Source organism: Homo sapiens, chromosome 11 (genome assembly GCF_000001405.40).
Source record: "Homo sapiens chromosome 11, GRCh38.p14 Primary Assembly".
Lineage (NCBI taxonomy): Eukaryota > Metazoa > Chordata > Mammalia > Primates > Hominidae > Homo > Homo sapiens.
In genome coordinates this window covers 5,935,304-5,956,328 of record NC_000011.10, presented here as the reverse complement: position 1 = coordinate 5,956,328, position 21,025 = coordinate 5,935,304, and the positions used below count along the sequence as shown (strand labels likewise).

Below are 21,025 nucleotides of genomic sequence, written 5' to 3'. Positions count from 1 at the left end.
TCTTTGAAGCTGAAGCAAATCTGATTGATTTTTAATGTGAAAATAAAATATAAAATCTGTTCTTAGAGTTATTTCTAAATAGAACTAACATCATAATCTTCTGAATCATCAGAATCATTATATTTCAGAAAAATTGGATTCATCAAATACATCTTTGGCCAACAATTGTTCGAGAATGATAACATCATGCATAAGAATGCTATGTTTTCTAGGATTTGACATTTTCTATGATCGAGAATTACTGCATTGTGTAAATGGAAATACCTCTATTAAAACAGAATGCTATAAATAGAATAATGTCTTTTGTTTCCACAGTTGATATACTAGAGTGATGTGAAAATAATAATAAAAGTGAGGTATTTTATGGCAAAGTTATTTTGGGGTAAACGCTGCAGCTGCAAGTGCTGCCAGCAAGTATTCGTAGGGCAAATGGGAAAAGGGTTAAAAAGGAGGCTATATGGCAAATAATTATTCTTGCTGTGCTTTATCCAAATAATCAGACCAAGTATAACAAGACTAGAGCTTATTTTGCAATCAAATCATCTTATCATAATTTGTTTTTAATAAAAATGAAGAGTGAAAAGAGAAAAATTATGTTTCAAGAACTACGGTACATCTGTTAGTAGAGCTGCCTGGCCACTGGTGCATGCAGACAGCCCATCCCAAGGGAAGAACCAGGGGAGAAGGAATGTAACCCCCCAGAAGCATGCCAATGTATACAACTGCAAGTCAAAGGCCAAACTGTGCACTTAATCTCCCAAGGTGCCCGCTTGACCCTCTTCCAAGTGTACTTTACTTCCTTTCATTCCTGCTCTAAACTTTTTAATAAACATTCACTCCTGCTCTAAAACTTGCCTCAGTCTCTCATTCTGCCTTATGCCCCTCAGCTGAATTCTTTCTTCTGAGGAGGAAAGAATTCAGGTTGCTGTAGACCCATACAGATTCTCCACTGCTAATAATAAGAAATTTTACATTGTTGGGTGTCTACATTTAGTTGTTTTCCTTTAGAGTGTTGGAAGTTTGTCTTGGAAAATCATAAGTTACAAGCTGATCAGCTTGTTTCTTTCAAGTCTTGATTTTAATCTTTTTACTTTTTATGTAGATTAGCTTTTATTCCAGTGCTAGTTACATACTACTACAGATTAATGGCCACTTCAGCAATTCTACTGAATGCCCCAGGTATTCAGTATGGTCTCTCCACTATGACTGTTCCAAGATTAAACACATTCTGGCCCTGCATATGTTTTCAGAATTGTTTAAGGTCCCCATTAATCATTCTTTCCCCAGTGATTGTTCTTTATTCCTGTATATTTGCAGCTTATGATGCATGTTATCATTCATTCAAAGACTAAATGGTACCCCTTTGTATCTTTGGAGTCCTTTTTTGTGTAGCTCCCTCTTCTTTGCTGTTTTGCTTTACAAATTCCAACTTCTTCAATGTCCCCAAGATCTGCTGTCTTTCTTGAAACTTGGGAAGACTTTTATGCTCTCTTCTACCTTCTGCTTTCCTTGCAATTAGGATCAGGAAAGTTCCTTTAGGAGAAATCTAGGGCTGTATGTTGTTCCAGTTCTTGGAACAATTGTTTCATACTTTCTGTTTAATTTCCTATTTCTTTCTGGTTGAAGTGAAAATTTGGTACCAGTTACTTTGTTAAGGTTGGAAATAATTAATTTTAATGCAATTTTAAGAATTAATATTCTTGCAAAAATATTAATATTGCCAGTATGATCCCACTTTCCAATGAAAACATTATTTAAAAAGACAATATGAATTTTATTTAAAAAAATGATCAACTTATAAGGGAACAAATATTACTAAATTATTCAATTCAAACTTGCAGACTTTGAAAGTATAATTCCAGCTCTATTTTCACACTTTAACTCCCCAGGACTCAACCACCTTATTTCATTCCATTAACCTTTCTCTCTAGCAATAAATAACAATGACAAAACAGCAAATCTGTGTTCCTAGCCCTGGATTGTGGGATAAGATCTGAGCCTTAGTCAGAGGTACATTTGATTTTTCCTCAAATAAAAGTGATCAAGAGAGATAAAAAGGCACAGTCTTACAAGATTTGGGATAATTAAATAGGGTGACTTGAAGACCAAAATGCAAGGCATAAACAAGTCTTTTAGTTGTGCTGGTTCTCACACACACTTTATCATTGTTTTCCCTAAGCAATAATGCAATTAAAGAGTTAGTTCTGGGGCTTACCAATGATCAACTTGACCATCTCTTTAATGAGTAAGCTTTGGTTCAATAGCACAGGTTCCAAAATCCACATTTGTCTGTCCTGATGCCCCTTTTCTCACTATATTTTGAGCTCTTTGCGGCCAGGACTGTGTTTAATTCACCTTTTTTCCCCTGCAACTTTGATATAGTGCTTATTACAGAAGAAAGTTTCAGTCAATTAATTAATTAATCAATGAGTCCCCCCCATCTCTCACAAGCACTTTTGCTTCTAATAAACACCATCTGGATTATGAAATCTTGATATAAAGGTAGTATAGCTTTTATAAGAATAAAAACATTTATTAAAATAATATAGCACTACAAGTAAACTTATCTTCATAAATACAAAATAGAGTTAATGACATTAATGATTTAAATTTATGGAAAAAGTAAAATATAAATAAGTACTATGTCAATGACAGGGAAGTTTTAAAGCTCTCACTGAAAGAACAATGTGTCCTGGTCCTGGATTTGGGTCTGTACTCTTTACCTAGGATCTACAGTATGCAGCCAGATCTACTGATCTTCTACCAATGGTGTCAGCTTTCAATCATATGGCACTTAACCTAGGAATGCTAGAGTAATAATTTAATTACTTGGAACTCTATTAAGATGGGCAAAAGACATGAGCAGACACTTTTCAAAAGAAGACATACAAATGTCCAGCAAAGTATGAAAAAATGCTCAACATCAGTAATCATCAAGAGAAATGAAAATCAAATCCACAGTGAGATAGCATCTCACATCAGTCAGAATGGCTGTTGTTAAGTCAAAAAAACAACAGGTATTGGCAAGGCTGCAGTGAAAGGGAAATGCATATAAGCTGTTGGTGGGAATGTAAATTAGTTCAGCCACTGTAGAAAGCAGTTTGGAGATTTCTTAAAGAGCTTAAAACAGAATTACCATCCAACTCAGCAATCCCATTACTGGGTATTTATCCCAAAGAAAACAAATTGTTCTACCATGAAGATATGCACTTGCACATTTATCGCAGCACTATTCGCAATAGCAAAAACATAGAATCAGCCTAGGTGCCCATCAATGGTGGACTGGATAAAGACAATGTGGTACATATACACCTTAGAATACTATGCAGCCATAGAAAAGAATGAAATCTTGTCCTTTGCAGCAAGATGGATGCAACTGGAGACCATTATCCTAAGTAAATTAACACAGGAACACAAAACCTAATACTGCATGCTTTCACTTATAAATGGAGGCTAAACATTGGATACTCATGGACCTAAAGATGGCAGCAATAGACACTGGTGACTACTAGAGGTGGAAGAGAGGGAAAGGGATATATGTTGAAAACAAACTGTTGGGCACTGTGCTCAGGATCTGGGTGGCAGAATCATTGGCACTCTAAAGTCCAGCATCATTCAATATGCCCAGGTGACAAACCTGGCACAACATTTTCTAAAATTACCTATTTTTATTACTTATTTATTATTTATTTCTCACTAGAATATATACATAGGCCTTGCATATCTTACCTATTTACTACAACCCCCCCACCATAATAATGAGTTTCCTACATGTACCCCCTGAATCTAAAATAAAAGTTGAGAAAAACACAACAAACAATAATAATGTAATTATTTGATTGATATTTTGGAAAGTGAATGTCTTAGTATTGAATCATAATTTCTACTAGAATAATTTGTGATATATTTTCTCTGGATTGTCCTTCTTTCTGATGAAGGGCTTTCTGTTTTTCAGCCTCAATCTCTTCTGTATGTTTTCAGCTTATAGGATTCTGTTCCTGCTTTGGCTCAAAAGTGAGTTCCTGTTATAATATTCTTCCTACACCTTCCACTATTCTAGATTTGGGTCTACCTTTCTGCCAAGTGGCAACCGCCTTGCACCTCTGCCTTAGATTCTCCATGGCTGTGTACTTTCAAATTGTTGACATTTTTTACTGTTTCTGTTTATTCTAGGTTCAGAGGCTTCACAGTTACTATATATGTTTTAATGTAATTATGTGTTATTTTATGCATTATGTTTGCAGTTGATGTATTATATAAGTTCCACTTGGAACATATCTATATTCTCAAATAGTGGCTTATTTTCTTTTTTCATTATCTTATTTCAAATTAATCAAATCAAGAGATTTATGCTAATCACATCATCTAAATTACTTTCCGTCCTTCATCTCAAATCATTCCTTAATGCACAATCCTGTACTATTTTCTTCATAACATTTTCTAAAATTACCTTACTTTTTGATTACCTATTTATTATGTATTTATTTCCCACCAGAATATATAAAGAGACCTTGCATATCTTACCTATTTACTACAACCCCAGCACCATAATAAGGAGTTTCCTACATTAAGTGTGAATGCGTATTTTTGATAAATACATATGGTGTTAAATGTTGAGCTGAAGGGCCACTGCCATCCTCTGTCTGTGTTTTGCTTTGCTTTTTGACCCAGTGACTAGCATCAGCTGGGCCTGCCCTCTCAAATATCTGCTTGCTTTTTCTGGATACAGGAGAAAAAACTTAATTATGAGTAATGTGTGGGAAAATGCAAGGTCTCACCAGCACAATCTGAGTTTCAACATTTTATGAATAACACCTATTTGGTTTGAAGAGACAGCTTTCTCACTCATGTTTTATTTATATATATTTATAATATACTATAACAATCTCACTATTAAACTTTTCATATAAAATACATTTTATTAAAAGAACACAGCAAAAAATAGTTAAATAGTTTCAAATACTCAGATCTATGTGTGTGTAAATGATGTAAAGAAAAATTTAATGAATTACAAATAATGTTTATCATTTACCTTCTGATAAACCTTTAACGTATTAATGTCTGTCGATTACTCTAATGCTAATATTCCTTACTTGTTATGAGTAAATACCCATTTACATTCTTCCTTAGGATCTTAAGTTTAACTCTTCTTCAAGTCTGTCACTGTGGGATTTCAGGACCATATGTCTTAAAAACCCAGTAACTAAAACTTCTTTTAAAAATAAATCTTCTCACCTTGGTTTCCAAGATTTAGCACTCATGTTATTGCAGCATTAACAAAAAAAACTTTACTCTCCTCTAAAACCCTGACTTCCTTGGCAAAACATATAAAAAAGAAAAATTATAGCCAAAACAAAATAATATAAATATAACTGTATTATAAGATGTATTTCAAGAAGAATACATATTTTCTAATTAACTTTATTTTCTATCCATATCTGACTTTCAAAGCAAAATTTCTAGAGTAGTACTGATTAATACCATAGTCACTAGCCTCACGTGGCTATTGAATGCTTGGAATCTGGGTAGTCTGAATTAAAATGTATGTTAAGTGTAAAATACTCAGGGTGTTTCAAAGACTTAGTACAGAAAAGGAATGTGCAATATCACATTAATGATTATCTTGTATTTGTTATGTGTTGAAATGATAATATTTTGGATATGTTGGACTAAATAAAATATCTTATTAGAACTAATTTTGTCTGTTTCTACTTTTTCAACATGTGTACTAAAAAGTTTAAAATTAAGTATGTGGTTCATATTGCACAGCACAGTTCTAGAGGAAATCCTCACTAATATTACCTATTTTGGTGAGATAAAACCATAGTTAACTTGTTCACCTTGTTTTTCAAATAAATATATGCCGATATTGTTTTGACATTGTTTATAAATGTCTAAAAATTACATATAAGTGAAGCAAAACAGATTTTTCAGGCAAATACTTTTAAAATATGAACTTTTTACCATGTTCTTTGGGAAGACAAGACTTATGGAAAATTTTCTTAATCTCAGGGAGGTATGTACTCTAAATCCCTCAATATGTCCTTTTCCTGGCACCCAAGGTTATCTTCTAACAGCTTACTGTAGACATCTGGATTTGTCATACAAACGATGTGATCTTGAAAATAACTAGTCCTCAAAGTTTTGGTGTTTTGATAAGTATATGTTAATATAGCATATTGTTAAAACTTTCAGATTTTTAATATTTCCTAAGAGGTGGTGGCTTAAATTTACCTTACAAGCATGTTATATCTTTATAATTGTAAGATTCTTCCATGGTATACGGTTATTCACATTTCAAGTCAAGCCATTTTTCTTATGTTGAAATGTATGAGAGAATGAGATTTTAGAGAGTCCTTCTTCTTTGAGTAATAAAGAAAAAGGTGTATCTACTCGGATCTTAACAGATGGCTTTTCACTTTTGAGAAATTTCTAATTAAATTATTGATTATATGCTTTTAACTATTGCTTCTTATATGTGGTACATGCTTATTTTTCAATCAGTAGGTTTCAATTCCAGGATATCCAGGAATTAAATACTAATTTATCATTTTTTTTGCAAGATGGAGAAGAGAAATGAACGGAGAGAGCTCTGCGGAATTCTGCTTGAGTAGGACAGGGCTTAATCTCAGATGCTTTCAGTTAAATTTAAAACATTCGGACATTTGGGACAGTCTTGGTATTTGATACTTGAGAAATTTTCCTTGTATGGTCAAAACAAAGTAACACATACTTGTAAGTTGTTACTGAAGCACAGAATCTTGTATTTAGAAGAATATTCTAAAACAAATCGCTCACTATTATCAGGTATTGGATGAATAATGGGAAACACAGTGAATTCTCTTATTTGATTTCTTCCCAGGCGGGACACAACTTTTATGCTGTGGGTATGTATGTGTGTGCATGTGGGTGTGTGGCTGTGCAAGGCCTACTGCCCAGACCTTCTCTTTATCTAATGTTTCCTTACAGGACCAAGTATCTTACTGCCCATACATATCTTTTATCCCATTCCTCACTGCTCTACAGTTTAGAAGAATGTGTTCTGGAGTGCATATTTGTATTTTTCCTACCCAAACTTTGAGGTCCTCAAATCAACAACAATATTCTTTTTATTTTTGTTTCTTAATAGCTAACATAATTCACAGGACACCATGTGTGCTTAGAAGCTGTCCAATTAATGAGAAAATAATGTTCAGGAAAAGTATTTTAGGTGTCAATATTATTGCTAGATTGTATGCTCTAATACCAGCAATCTTTTGACTCATTAATAAAGATTTGTTTGCATATCAAAACCTGTGATATATTGGATCTGAAAGATAAATGTTCTAAGCACAGACACATTGGGGAAGAGGATTCAAGAATCTCATATATCCAGTAAAACTCATTGATAATTGTTACTCATGAGGAATCAAGGCAAAACCCTTGCCCTCTTGCAATGCACATTACAAAAATTTACTTGTCTTCCAGAGAAAGAGAAGGAGAGGGAGAGAGAGGAGGTGAGGGGAGAAAGAGAACTAGAGAAAGGCAATGATGTGGTTGAAGGGTGAGAGAAAAAGACCTACTTACAGACCAGTAGCAACTTTCCACCACTGAGGACTGAAATTTCAACTACTGTGTTTTTTTCTCCAATGTATTCCCTTTTCTGAAAATAAGAATAAAAGGACATTACACATAACAGACACAACAAAATAACCGCAGTTGTATTTTTAATGATACAAAATTCATGACATATTGAGTTGTGTGTTCAGAAACATACATTTTTCACTTTAAAATCTGCTTTAAGGAATGTCAGTGTTTTGGACAAAATATGATTATAAGCATGGAATAAAACGAGAGAGGGCCAAGAATATTTCTGAGAAAAGGGTGAAAAGGAAGATAGACTTAAATTAAAACCGATGTTTTTGAAAAGCACACACAATATCTAGTGTACCCAGTTTGAGGTTATAAGTCACAGATATGAATTTCAGCCCACTCACTCATTAAGTGATTAATAAATTATCTTATTTTAGATATTCAGAGATCCAGTGGTCCTTGTTAGCACCCTTTCTTCAACAACCTCTGCATTCCCTGCTTAATTTCTTGGGTTCTCACCCCGTAAATGATGGGGTTAAGGGCTGCAGGAATGACATGGTGGAGAACATTGAGCAAGACTGGCACATCAGGGGAGACTTTCTTCTTAGCCACATGTGTGAGGACAAAAACCAGAAGGATGGTGCTGAAGAAGAGGATGAGCATGAAGTGGGAGCCACATGTGCTTAGGGCCTTTGCCACGGCACCCTCTGCCTTGAGTCTCAGCACAGCTCGCAGAATGAAGGTGTAGGAGAGGAAGATAAGGATGAGGTCAGATCCTAGCAGAGTCCAGCCTCCAGCAAATTGGTAAAGGTGATTGATGGTGACATCATCGCAGGAGAGTCTGGAAACAGACATATTGGCACAGATGCAGTTCTCAATGACATTTCTTCCACAATAACGGAGTTGTGCTGAAAGGATGGGGATGGGCAGAGTCATAAGCACATTTCTGGTCAAAATAAACATGGCAGCCTTGACTACAAAGTGATCAGTGATGATTGATGGATATCTCAGTGGGTGGCAGATGGCTACATAACGATCATAGGCCATGACCATGAATGTGCAAGACTCCATGGCTAGGAAACAATTCATGATGTACATCTGGAGGAAGCAGGCAGGGAAGCTGATGGGCCTGAGGTCAAACCAGAAGATGGTCAGGACCTTGGGGATGACAGTGAGGCAGAGCACGATGTCCAGCAGGGAGAGGAGGCTGAGCAGGTAGTACAGGGGCTGGTGCAGAGAGGCCTCCAGCCAGATGGTCATCAGGAGGGTGGTGTTGGCCCCTACGGCCAAGAGGAAAAGGAGGCTGAGGGGCAGGGACAGCCAGTGCTGCCAGCTGGGGGATCTGACAAAACAATTCAAGAGGAAGTCTGAAGCTTCAGTGGAGAGGGTGTCATTTCGGTGTGTTGTCATATTTTCCCATATATTTTACTGCTTTCTTTCAGTGATCTGGAAAATTATGATTACAAACTAGCTGTGGATTCTTGATACACAAAGATAGCACAATTTGTTTGTCATAGGTACAACTTGTGGTTTCTAGCAGGTTATGTAGAGCCAAGCGAATTCATCTGTTTTTCCTCAGTGTCATGTCACTGGGGTATTCCTATCACTTTAAACAGTACAGCTGTCTGAGGTGACATGATTCCTCTATACATGTTTACTTTATTCAATGTCCATTTTCAATAGAATTGTTTTTTTTAGAGAAACTAAAAAGGAGAAAACACTTAGGAAACAACTTTAGTGTGACAGGTGAGACTCTAAATTTCTACCCATAGGTTTCTTCTTCACAATTTTCTTTTTAATGTACACATAGCCTACCATATCTACAAGTTGACTATTGCAATAAGCTCAAATAAATAGCAGAGCCTGGCACAAGGAAGGGACTCAGATAAATGTCCCTAGTCCCCATGTCCCCATGACATCCTTATTCTAACCTTTCTGCTGCACTTATTTTGCTTAGAGATTTTTTAAATCATACATCTAAAATAAATTTAGTTAACTTGTATTTTGTCTAAAAGTTCATTTTTATTTAGTAGGCATAGGTTCCACCAAATAATTGCCTTAATATCTCTCTATTTTTTAGATGTTCATATTTTTAGGCTTCCTAACTTTTGGGAGAAACAGCTTTAAAAGGAGAGTGGGCACTTCCACATAGCTAACAGGGAGAAATGCTTGTCATTAGACATGATGAAAAATTGGTTCTTCTTATTGTAATTGTGTGAGGGTGACGAAGTTCACCTTTAAAGTCCTTCCGTCTCCTTCCAGTTTCCTTTTCCATCTTGACTGTAATGATATAGCCACACATTTCCCTCTCTCCTGACAGTAGTTCAGTGTTGCCATTATTCCCTTATCATTTAACCCTCTTCCCTGGCATTCTGTTAGGTACCAGCATCACAAAATTTAATAAGAAACTGTCCTTATTTTCACTAAAACAAACCTATAACTACTCTGGGAGATGATGGGTGTAACGAGAATGAATGATATGAGCAATGTCAGAGATATGCACAAATTATTAGGAGACTGCAGAGGAGAGTTGAGTGTGACATAGGGGATAGGCTGGAAAAATATCATTATAAATAGGGTGATGTGGTACCCACATTTACATTAAAGGTAAAGGATTCTAAGATTCCCCTCCCCTGCATTGTGAAAGACAGCCCATAGAAAGAACACTGTAGCTTGGCAAGGGTGTAGGTCAGGTCTTCAGGGGGCCCTCCAAATCATGCAGTTTTATTGTGCATATTTCTGTCTACTGGGACAGAGGTTTCTGTTCAGATGTTATTTTGTAGGTTTAAAAATTCCTTTCTATCGCTTCTCAGCCTTTTGGCTAAGATCAAGTGTGTGAAATTCCTTTTCATCAAATGTTTAAGAAATGCCCTGTTTCTCACACTTTGGCTCACTAATATAACAAAATTATATGGTTATTTTTGTAATTCTTTCTACTTGCTGGGAACTGTGCTCTGTTTTAGCACTTCATCCCATTTAGTTATTCAACATTCTGTGAAATATGTTTCATTATCACCACTTACAAACAAGGGAAGTGATATTTCAAAATCCAGGTTCTTAACTGCCCATATGTTATTATTCTAATCCTAATCTTACCTAATATAGAGGTTGGGTTGGATTAATTTCTAGGGTTCCTTCAGACCCAAGAAATAATTTTTTTTTTTTTTTTTTTTTTTTATATGGGGTCTAGCTCTGTTGCCAGACTGGAGTGCAATGGCGTGATCTCTGCTCACTGCAACCTCCGCCTCCCAGGTTCAAGCGATTCTCCCGCCTCAGCCTCCAGAGTAGCTGGGATTACAGGCACACGCCACCACACCCAGTTAATTTTGTTTGTTTTTGTGGTTGTAGTAGAGATGGGGTTTCACCATGTTGGCCAGGATGGTCTCGATCTCCTGACCTCGAGATCCACCCACCTCAGCCTCCCAAAGTGCTGGGATTACAGGTGTGAGCCACCGTGCCCGGCCAAACCCAATAAATAACTCTATTATACGTATTTGCCCCACTGATCCTATAAAAAAGAAAACAAACTTTACCCAAAACACAATTGATAGTTTTAAGAATTGAATCTGTCGAGGAAAAAAGTTTTGGGGTAGGGACAGGGTGACAAGGAAGGAAGTTATAATTAAACTGTGAACTCCAAACTGTATGATATTTTCCTACTGATGGAAACATACTTTTTGGAAGAGGTTCAGGTAGGCTTTTTGTTTTCAGTTGTCTTTCCTATTCCCCAAAAGCAGTTCCAGTCCTTGCTCAACTGGGTCCTGTCAGATTCTCCTCATCAGAAAGACCCTGTTAGTAACTGTGGCTGCTGTCAGTGGAGGGAGGACGGGCATTCCTCCAGGGATCCTCTCTTCACTCCTCTTGATCCTCTGATTCCCCATGTAGTCTGCCAGGCATGGCCCTTCACCTCATATATAGAAGAGATTTAGATATTCTCCCAATTCTTTTCTCCTGTAAATAATAGGGTATATTAGTAATGACCTGATAAGTTCAAAATGAATTTTAAACATACCGTTTCATTTGTGATTCATAATACTTTGAAGTAGGTAGGGTAAGTTGATTATTTTAGCAGTTATCTTTCACATAGGCAAATCATATTTTAGTGGTTTTACATGTCTTCCTACAGTTTCTCAGGGTTCAGCTGTGGAGAAAATAAAGGTCTAAATAATTCATTCAGGTCCAAGCCAGTGAAAATAGGAATACGCCTGTGCCCTGTGTCACCATAGTGATGCATACATGTTTATGTTATTTGGGATTTTGTTTTATATATTTTGTAGGTTTTTCTTTTCCACCCACACTCTCCATACACATACAATTCTAAGGGCTGTTTTTCAGCAGTCTGGAGATTCTCCCTCTTCCTTCCTCTTGCAACTCCGACTCCTGCTTCCCACAGCTCATAGGCTCCAATTCCCTCCTTATTCCCCTTTTGTATTGTGTCTTTTATTGTATTCCTGGTTTTGACTCTTAAGGAACAACCCCTTCAAGGTTAAATAAAGATTATAAAATCATTCTCTATGCACTTCATACCTGCCACCCTCCAATCTTACTTTCTCTTTTCTAATATTTTTGCCATTTTCCTTGATAGAGTGGCTCACTGAGAGTAAGACATACTGGAGTTACAGGAGGTCCTCAAGATAATAACCCCTAGAACAAAACTTCCAGCCTCCAGTTGGTGACTAACGACCCTTCTTCATGCCCTGGGCACTATGTTCATTCACTTCTTTTCCTTCTCTGTCTTTGAATACATTAACTTGTAAGTGTGGAACAAAAACCAGTAAGACCTTCTAAGCCTAGAACTTGGCATAATTGACCCAACCCCAATTAACTTTGCACCCACAGCAAGTACAACTATAGGCTGTTAAATTCCACATATTCCCTTTAAACACTATCTTCTGCATTACTTTCTTGTCATTTATTCCTTTGCTCATTGCATCCTCTGATCCTACTTTCTGCAAAATTTTTACAGTTAAAAATCACAGCCTCTTGGTTAGTTGTATTCTCAGGTATTTTATTCTTTTTGTGGCACTTGTAACTAGGATTGCATTCTTGATTCAGCTCTTAGCTTGAACTTTATTGGCGTACAGAAATGCTACTAAGTTTTGTACATTGATTTTGTATCCTGGAGTCCTTTATCTGTTCTAGGAGCCTTTTGCAGTGTATGAAGGGGACTTAAACTTCAGAAATGTTTTATTTTATTTTAAAAAACCTGAAGCAAATAAGGTGGTTTTTTTTTTTTTTTTTTTAAAGAAAATCACAGCCCCAAATCTTACCTTTCCAAGTAGCTTTTCTTCTCCAGGGGTCACAAAGGACTCCTAGAAGGAATTAAATGTTTTGTGCTTGGAAGTAGAGAAAATCTTGAAATGACCTTTGCAGGGTAGAGCCAAATGGAAGATCTAGTGACTTAGGCATGAGTATCCATAGAGAAGCCTAGAGGAAAAAGTATATTTTCTGTCTCTTGAAGAGCTTTGGGATAATTATTTTTAGCACTAAGATGAAATTTCTGAGGATTACATGGGAGGATTATTTTATTTTTCTAACTCACTGACTTTTCCTTTTTCCTTCTATTTTCTCTAATGTTTCTGCATGTTTTTCAATCATTCAACAAGCATCAATAAAGTACTCATCCCTAGAAGTAAAGCATCTGGAAACACATTTGCTCCTTTTCTCCTTTCATTATTCAATCTTGGTTTGTAATCAAAACTTGCCAATGGCACACTAGGGCTTAGGAACTGGAGCTAATGGTTTCCAGTTCCAGCCAGGAACAAGATGAGAAAGCCAAAGAAGTTGAAGCTCAAAGACTAAAGGAGAGACCATCAGCCTAGGCTTTCCCAGGTTGCAAGATAGGCCCACAGAATAGTGCCAAAGAAACCCTGTTTTAAAAAGTAAAAGAGTTGCTAGGGTTCTATCTTGGTAAAATTCAGGCAGGCCTGTAAGATACCTCTCTCAGGTGTAGTTTCAGATATTATTCAGTGCATCCAGTGACAGGTAGCTAGCTGCTCTTCTGGGCGTAGTTTTCTGTTCTTGTCAGAAGTAGATTTTAGCAATTTTGATCAGAAATATTTTGAACTACTTCCTGACTTCCACTGGTCCTGAACTGTGGTCTTTGTCTTCAACCTCTGAAGTTATAGAAACTAATGTAATTCTAACTTTATAATTCAGACACTGGTAGGCATATTCTTTGTTTTCAAGCCACTAAATTTCCATATTCAGAGTTGAAAACTCCAAATTTTCTTTACTTGGCTCCAAATTATGCACTTTTTAGCTCTCATACTGCCTGTTAATCTTCTATAGACAAATTGCAACTTTCCTGCATTTCTGCTACCACCAAGCACCCAGAGGATGGCAAAAGAGAGAAGGTCCCAGAGCACATAAGCCTCTTTACCTGAGACAGGGTGCAGTCTTTATTTATTTCCTTCTCAGACTACTTCAGCAGTATTGACGCAGGAATGGAAAAGAGCACAGATAGGGACTGAAGACAGAGATCTCTCTAGTCTTCTGGCTAATCTTTGTATAGCCACCATTAACATCCTCTAGCCAGACTCACAGAAAATGTGAAGCATGGGGTTTGGCTCCATTAATATTGGAGCTCTTGTTAGTTTCAGAAGTATCTGGGGCAGTTATAATTGTAGTGCCTCAGAAACTCTGACCTCTGGGAACTTCTTAATCCCTCTTCCCGTAGGACCAAAAGGTCCTCCTGGGAAAAACAGGCAGTTAGATGGGAGAAGAAAATTATTCTCTTTCTTTCTGTGACAAAAAACCCCCGGTAATCCAGTGCTACACTGACTGCTTGTCCTGTAGGCAGTAAGTACGTCTCCTGGGTACAGGGATCTTATGTTCACATCCATCTGTGTTCATATTCATCTGCCTATGCACACTGAGCAGCTTCTGTGGATCCAATAAGTGAATGGAAATTTTTGTGGGCTTCCTGCTTGTTTTGTTTGATAGGCACTGCCCAAACCATGCTATTGAATGGATTGGTGTTAATCTATCATGACTTTTATGAAGGTATTATGATAAAAATGCAAGAGAAAACTGAACAAAATCTTACTGAGAAAATGCAATGTGATATTCAGAGAAAAAAGACCTATAATAATTTTTTTTGTGGTGAGAGGTTTAAAAATGGAATTTATAAATAACCCAATATTAGTTAGCAACTATGTTTTTCCTTTAGGTTTTATTTTCATTTTGAACCTTATATGAATTATTCACACTTATCAACTAATGGAAACAAGCATCATAAGTTTCTTCAAGACTTTTGCTTTATTTCTTTTCCTGTATTTTCCAACATTCCTCCTATTTCCCTTCCCTTTAGGAAAGTGAAAACTCCAGTGGATTTAAAATATATCTTTCTAATTAATTTTCAGTATGCTTATACAGGGATATACTTAATTTATGAAAAAATTCTTTTAAAATTGAATTTATATAACTGTCACTGGGTTGTAAATCTGTTATTCTTTTTCTATCAATGCTATATCTTCAAATTTATACATGTTGCTATGTGTAAGTTGACTTTATTATTTTTTACTGCTGTTCACTACTAAGAAAGACCATTTGAGAATTTTCCCCAATGCCTTATGAATTATAATGCTTTCCTTTCTCGACGGTGGAAACAGATACTATTTCAGGCCCTGTGTGTTGATTGGATACTGTTCTCACTAATTCTTTTAGGTGCCCTCCTCCCTTCCTCCACCTTGGTTAGTGTCCTCATCTGCACACATTCATTCATTACTTGAGGAAGATCCTCTGTAGGTTTTCAGGCTTCTCTCTGTGTGCAGCTTTCTTTTCTCCAGTATTCTTTCTTGCGAGCTTTAGCGGGTTTGGTCTTTCTGTACTCCAATTACATCTCCTCCACTTAGGGACTCCACTGAGTTCCATTTGGTCTTGCTTCCCTGCACTGCAGCCTGGAAACTCTTTGAAGACAGAAAACTGGGGTAGTTGTAGGGCCTGCCTCATTTGTTTCACATATTTCAGGGATAACTGTCCTTACTTGCCTGATGTCTACTGTCTTGAAACTCATTGTTTACTATATTTTATTCCACTTTTGGTTTGTTTTGTTTTAGGTCAGTTAGGAAAGCAAATTCAGTCCCTTTCATCATATCTTGGCTAGAAGCTGAATAATATGAGAATTTTTAGAGTAATTTAATTCACCTCATCAGTATTTGTTGTAGCTGATCTCAAAAGATGCCCGCCCCCAATGTAGCATGCTAGTGAGGAATCAATACTTTGTATGATCCCCTTATTTTCAATCTGAGATGAGTCTTGGATTCACTTTTGGTTAAAAGAATGTGTTGGAAGTGAAACTGATTGAATTCTGAGACAAGCTCCTAAGAGGCCTTGTAGCTTCTACCAGCATCTCTTAGTTAAGTTGTTTAGGGGGATATCTGACTGCACTGAGACAGTTTTGCTGTGATGAAGCCCCAGTTAGCTATATGGAAAAGACTCACAAAGAGAGGCCTCTGCTCAGTCATGCTCTGATGTTTGAACCATCTCAGACATGTGAGTAAAAAAGTTATATTGGACATCCCAGCTGCAGTACATGTCACACGAGTTAGAACCAAGAAATTCAGCTGACAGGTACACGGTACAGCGTAGCTGTCACGGTCACATCCAGTAATTCAATCCATCCCAGCTCATGACCCAGTCACTGTTGTGCAGACAAGATTTCCCCACTGTTCCCTTTCTGAATTCACAATGCACAAATTCATTAGTATAATAAATGCTTATTTTTAGATGACACCAATAGATAACCAGAATAGAAATCAACAGTCAGATCCTGTTAGGCCTTGGAAAGCAGGGCCCTGGCCCTGGTCTCTGACACCTTATGGGGTCCAAGATTTGAAGGATTTAGCTTATCACAGAAGCAAGAAATTATTAAGATTGAAACGGAAACATGGCATGAAAATAATTATGAAAGACTTGCACAAACAAGTTACATATTTTCTATTGAATAGGCTTTGACAATGTTGGAGTATACCTAAATTAAGCTAACTTGTTGTCTTGGATTTGATGGAATCATTCTGAAATCGAACAGCCCCTATTCCTACTGTATGATATGGGCATCTGACCCAGAGAAGACCAGGTCTCCTAGGCTGTGAAGGGAAGAGCAGGTGCGTAAGGCTGTGAGCCAGAGGACCCAGAGAATCCCAAGAACACCTGAGCAGAGAAAAGAACAGGATATAGACTTCTCACTGTGACCACTTCAAGTTAGATGCTGAAAGGGCCTAATGCTACTTAGTGGTGCTCAGTGAAGTATAAATCTGTCTTGTTCTCCAAATGAGCCCTTGGGACTAGGCCAAGACTGCCTCCCAAGAGAGGCAGGACCACGTTCCTACATTCTAGTCATGTGAGCTATCTCAGGGATACCTGGGGCCACGTGGAAATCAGGTCTAGAATGGTGGGATCAGGAGCCCAGGTGATCTCAGCCTGACCTTCCAGCCTCATCATCCTCATTTCATTCCCCTCCCAGGCAATCTGGTCTAAGGCACTCAGAAATGTACTTCTCAAGCTCGTTCCCACAACCTGCCTGCATGGTTAAGACATGGTCTGACCCCGTCCCTGTTTGGTTTTGCTCAGTCTATACCTTGGACACATTCCTTAACCACAATGCGTTGATAAAATTTAATCAGAGAGACCATACTTCATAGGTGTGTCCTGCGTCTAGAATGGAATATGCTATCAATCAATGCGGCCAGTAATTATTCATCACCAGGAGAAAGAAATTCCTGGCCTTTACTCTGTTGGACCCCAGCCCCATGTCTCAAGACATCACCTGCGCGCCGTGGCAGGTCTCCCTGCTGTAGGCACCTGAATCACAGGAACTAAAGGTAGGGAGAAAAAGAAGGACAGATGGGCAAAAATCTGTGCCATTGAAGAGGAAACCTAAGACCGCCGAAGAGGAGAACTGCGTTGTTAGACTCCTGGCAGACTCGAGAGCCCGAGACTAACCAAACCGGTCACCAGGGCCCCGCGGCGTAGGCTGCGGGCTGTTCTCCTTAGCTTCCGGTAGTCTCCCCGCAGCTGAGGTCCGGGCCGGGTCAGGGCGCTAGCTGGTTACCATGGACACGGCGAGCGGACGCACACCAATCAGAAGACTGCGTTCCTTGCCCCTTTAAATACACACAGCCCAAAGCAATTTACTCCGTTCTGCTGGAACACAAACGCGCTTCTCAGTTTCTCTGGAGGAACTTGGTTGGCGAAGAGCTTGGCGCTTCTTGTAAACCTTGTCCCGCTGGACAAAGACTTGTGAAGGAACACGGAGTGCCACCAGGACTCCGTGGCCCTCCCCGCCTCTCTCTCCTTTTTCCCTTCATGGCGGTGAAGCTGTGGACGCTTCTCTTCAGGAGGTGAGCTCCAGATGAGACGCCACATCCCAGCGGAGTCCCGGAAGGGTCACCCCGGTAAGTGAAAGGCAATGGAAGGGCACCGTGGATCAATAAGGCCCAGAGGCGAGACAAAGAGGGCAAAAATCTTCTTTATTGAGCTCTCGGGCGAGGTTCACTGGTCCGCAGGGGGAAGGCCAGGGAAGTCACGCTGTGCCAAACGTGTAGCGCATTTATATAGATGAGTGACGTGCCTTAGTGACGTGCTTTAGTGGGCATGCGTGTTCACTGAGGCAGCGGGAACAAGAAAGGTGAACCCGGAAATGCTGAGTCAGGGTATCCGAGGTGGCTGTCCGGATGGCGGGAATAAATGGTGGGAACAGGCGAAAATGCCAAGTCAGGGTAGCCAAGATGGCTGCTGGGATGGCGGGAACTGGCGAATCCGGGAATGCTGAGTCAGGGCAGCCAAGATGGCTGCGATCTTGGGGTCTTCACCGGGATCCAATCAGTCCAAGCTCTTTTTGGTTATAGAAAAGGGGCGACGAATTCGTCTGGCTACTTCCTGCTGTTAAGGGGCGTCGTTGGGGAGGGGGCCTAAATCAGAGGTTGGCAGTTGGACATAAGGGTGAAGTAGCATCTGGTTGAAAGTGACCCTGGTGATTTCTTGTATCCGCTGGCGGAGAAACTGTACTAGGATTGGGGCAAAACACAGTATTATACAGAGAATTATAATTGGGATAAGGAAAGGGAGCATCTGTTGAACCACGGGTGAAAACCACCAGGAAGGACCAGGGCGGAGAGGGTCGTAGGAGTGTTTTAACTCCTCTTGGATCTTTTTTAAAGTTTGTAAATTAGTCTCAACTACCCCTGACTCGTTAATAGCAGCATTCTTCCTGTAAGAATAAACATGTCCCTCCTTTTTCTGCCGTAAGCAGGTCTAAGGCCCGCCTGTTCTGTGCCGTGACCTGTGCTACCGAAGTCATCTGTTGCTGTAGGGAGGCCAGGGACTCAGCCGATGCCTCAATGGCCAACTGCAGGTGAGTAGACAGATCCTGAGATGTTTGGATTAAGTGGGTGAGGGCTCCTGTTCCTAGCCCTGATGCCACTAAGGAGGAGGCTAAGGAGATGCCTAGTACTAAGGGTAGGAAAATAGCCCGTTTGCTTTTATTTCGCGGCCTTGGCTCGGTCCAGGCTAGCAGATGGCTAAGTTCGTCCTGACTATATAGGGTCAGGCTAGGGATGAGAGAGACGGGTAAGCACAAGGTGTGATTACCAGTTGAGTTAAGAACTTTAGTTAGCATGGAGTTACACCAGAAGTAGCCTCCGGGTGGTGCCGGGGCACTGGTAAGCATCCTGGTCTGGTTACACCAAGAGGCATTTGGGATGGAGTAACAGAACGGGAACTTGTGTCTTGTAGGGTCTGAGAATAGTGGGACCTGTCCTTTCGGGACCGGTGGTATAGGGGTGGATGAATTTCTTGTATAATTAAAGGGGGTAGGGAGAGGAACTGCCACTAAGGGAGGTCTTCCAAGGGCCGCACAGAGGAAGCAGTGGGAGAGGTTTTGTACCCCTGTGGATTGGAGCAGTTGTGTACCTTCTGAGATTAAAGTTAACCACGAGAAGGGGGAGGACATGGCCTGGTCAGCTGCCAGTTGAAGCTGGTTGGCAAGCCTTCTCGGCCGACTGGATTGAGGAGGCTAAGTCGGATAACCCTGTGACAGTGGTTTTAAGGGTCCTGGCAATGCGGATCTTAGCTACCGGATACATAAAAGTTCTGTGCTCATATAGTCCTCCATCTATACCGGAGGCCCAGCGGGGGTCTCAAGGGTCAGAGATTTGGAGGTTAAATCCGTTAAAGCCTCCTGAAGTGTTGACAGAGAACATGGTATCCTTTCTATAAATGGATGCCTCATGGATATTGCACCAGTGCCACAGGCAGCCTACATTTTCTTTGACCCAGGTGGTATTGCATTTGGAGTTACTTTGATCATACAGGAAGCAAAGCGCTGGGTTTTTTGTATTTGGGCCTAAGGAGGAGAATTTTAGACCTAGGAAAGTTATGGGTGCCTGGCACCTTGCTGGCGGGCATGCTGCCGTGGCTACTAGTCTAGAGGAGACTGCCTGTCCGGAATTCCAATTCTCAGTGAGGAAAAAAACCCAGTGAGAGGGAGTCTGAGAGGGGGCTTGTCTACTACGACTGGTGTGCAAGAGTAAGAAGAGTGACAAGACAAAAAAAGCGAACTTCTTGTTGGTGAAAGTTCTGGAGGGAGCCTTGCCACACTAGTTCGTCTATATAGGCTAACAGATTTTCAGGCCAGTGAAGTGTGTTAGCAAAAGTAGGGAATGACCAGCTTTCCTCGAGAAGAACTTGAATAAATTGTTGGAGCCTGTCACACGGAGAATTCATGCGGTATTTGATTTAGAGAGTTTCAGTTTGGTTGGGGAGAGGGAGGTGACAGTCCAAGTGGCCTGATCTTGTGTAGGTGCCCTCTTAAGATGGGAAATATGGTACCAGGAAGGAAGGCCTATAAGTTTAGCTGCCGTCAGTGTTGTAAGAATTACCGTATGGGGCCTTTCCACCGGGGGGAGAGGCCTCTTGCCTGGAGGTCTTTTACTAGTACCTGATCTCCTGGGGTTATTATGGCCAGACTGTCTGGGCCGAGTGGTCCGGGCTTTGGAAGGCTGCGGTCGGCGTGCTCTCTTAGCAGCTCCCTTAACAGGGTGAGGTAGGGCAGGTACGTGCTAAGAGGTGGGGTATTCACAGGGAGCTCTTGAAAGAGGAAGGGGCGCCCCTATAGGAGTTCAAAGGGGCTAAGTCCTGTGGGGCTTCGGGGTGCTGCCCGGAGCCGCGCGAGGGCAAAGGGAAGTAAGGTTACCCACGATTGGCGTGTCTCCAGAGCCAGTTTGATTAGGTGTTGTTTGACAAGGCCGTTGGCGCGTTCCACTTTTCCAGAAGACTGTGGATGGTATGGAGTGTGTAGCTTCCAGTTAACGCCAAGTGTGGTTGTCACCTGTTTGACTATCTTGGAGATAAAAGCAGGCCCATTTTCAGATTGGATTGTCCGAGGGAGGCCAAATCTCGGGATTATGTGTTCAATGAGGGTTGAAGCTACCACCTCTGCTGTTTCATGAGT

At 39.8% G+C, this 21,025-nt stretch overlaps 1 protein-coding gene and 1 long non-coding RNA gene across 9 annotated transcripts in view, besides 1 other annotated feature; one reads left to right on the top strand and one right to left on the bottom strand.

The window, feature by feature from the left end:
• OR56A3 (olfactory receptor family 56 subfamily A member 3) overlaps nucleotides 1–14,078 on the bottom strand; it is a 79,760-nt gene extending 65,682 nt beyond the window's left edge. Inside the window, exons 1-3 of one of the 2 annotated variants that reach the window (XM_047426926.1) lie at nucleotides 13,955–14,078; nucleotides 11,247–11,523; nucleotides 7,567–9,018 (exon numbers count right to left, since the gene is read on the bottom strand). In XM_047426926.1, the coding sequence (XP_047282882.1) occupies nucleotides 8,035–8,982 (948 nt within the window). In that variant the 5' untranslated portion in view covers nucleotides 8,983–9,018; nucleotides 11,247–11,523; nucleotides 13,955–14,078 and the 3' untranslated portion in view covers nucleotides 7,567–8,034. Of the gene's footprint in view, nucleotides 1–4,981; nucleotides 9,019–11,246; nucleotides 11,524–13,954 lie in introns of those variants that run through there. The other variant, NM_001003443.3, reaches the window with a different exon arrangement.
• LOC112268071 (uncharacterized) overlaps nucleotides 17,708–21,025 on the top strand; it is a 57,527-nt gene continuing 54,209 nt past the window's right edge. For 2 of the 7 annotated variants that reach the window (XR_002957231.2, XR_007062562.1), the window contains exons 1-2: nucleotides 17,708–17,969; nucleotides 18,827–18,928. This is a non-coding gene — a long non-coding RNA (uncharacterized LOC112268071). The other 5 variants (XR_002957230.2, XR_002957234.2, XR_002957232.2 and 2 more) reach the window with 3 other exon arrangements.
• Nucleotides 17,723–18,922: an enhancer, noted in NCBI's record as "BRD4-independent group 4 enhancer chr11:5958637-5959836 (GRCh37/hg19 assembly coordinates)". NCBI's record gives its function as "activates an origin of replication core promoter dependent on BRD2, P300/CBP, MED14 and CDK7 cofactors, and independent of BRD4, by STARR-seq in HCT116 cells {active_cell/tissue: HCT116}" and the evidence as "EXISTENCE:reporter gene assay evidence [ECO:0000049][PMID:35650434]".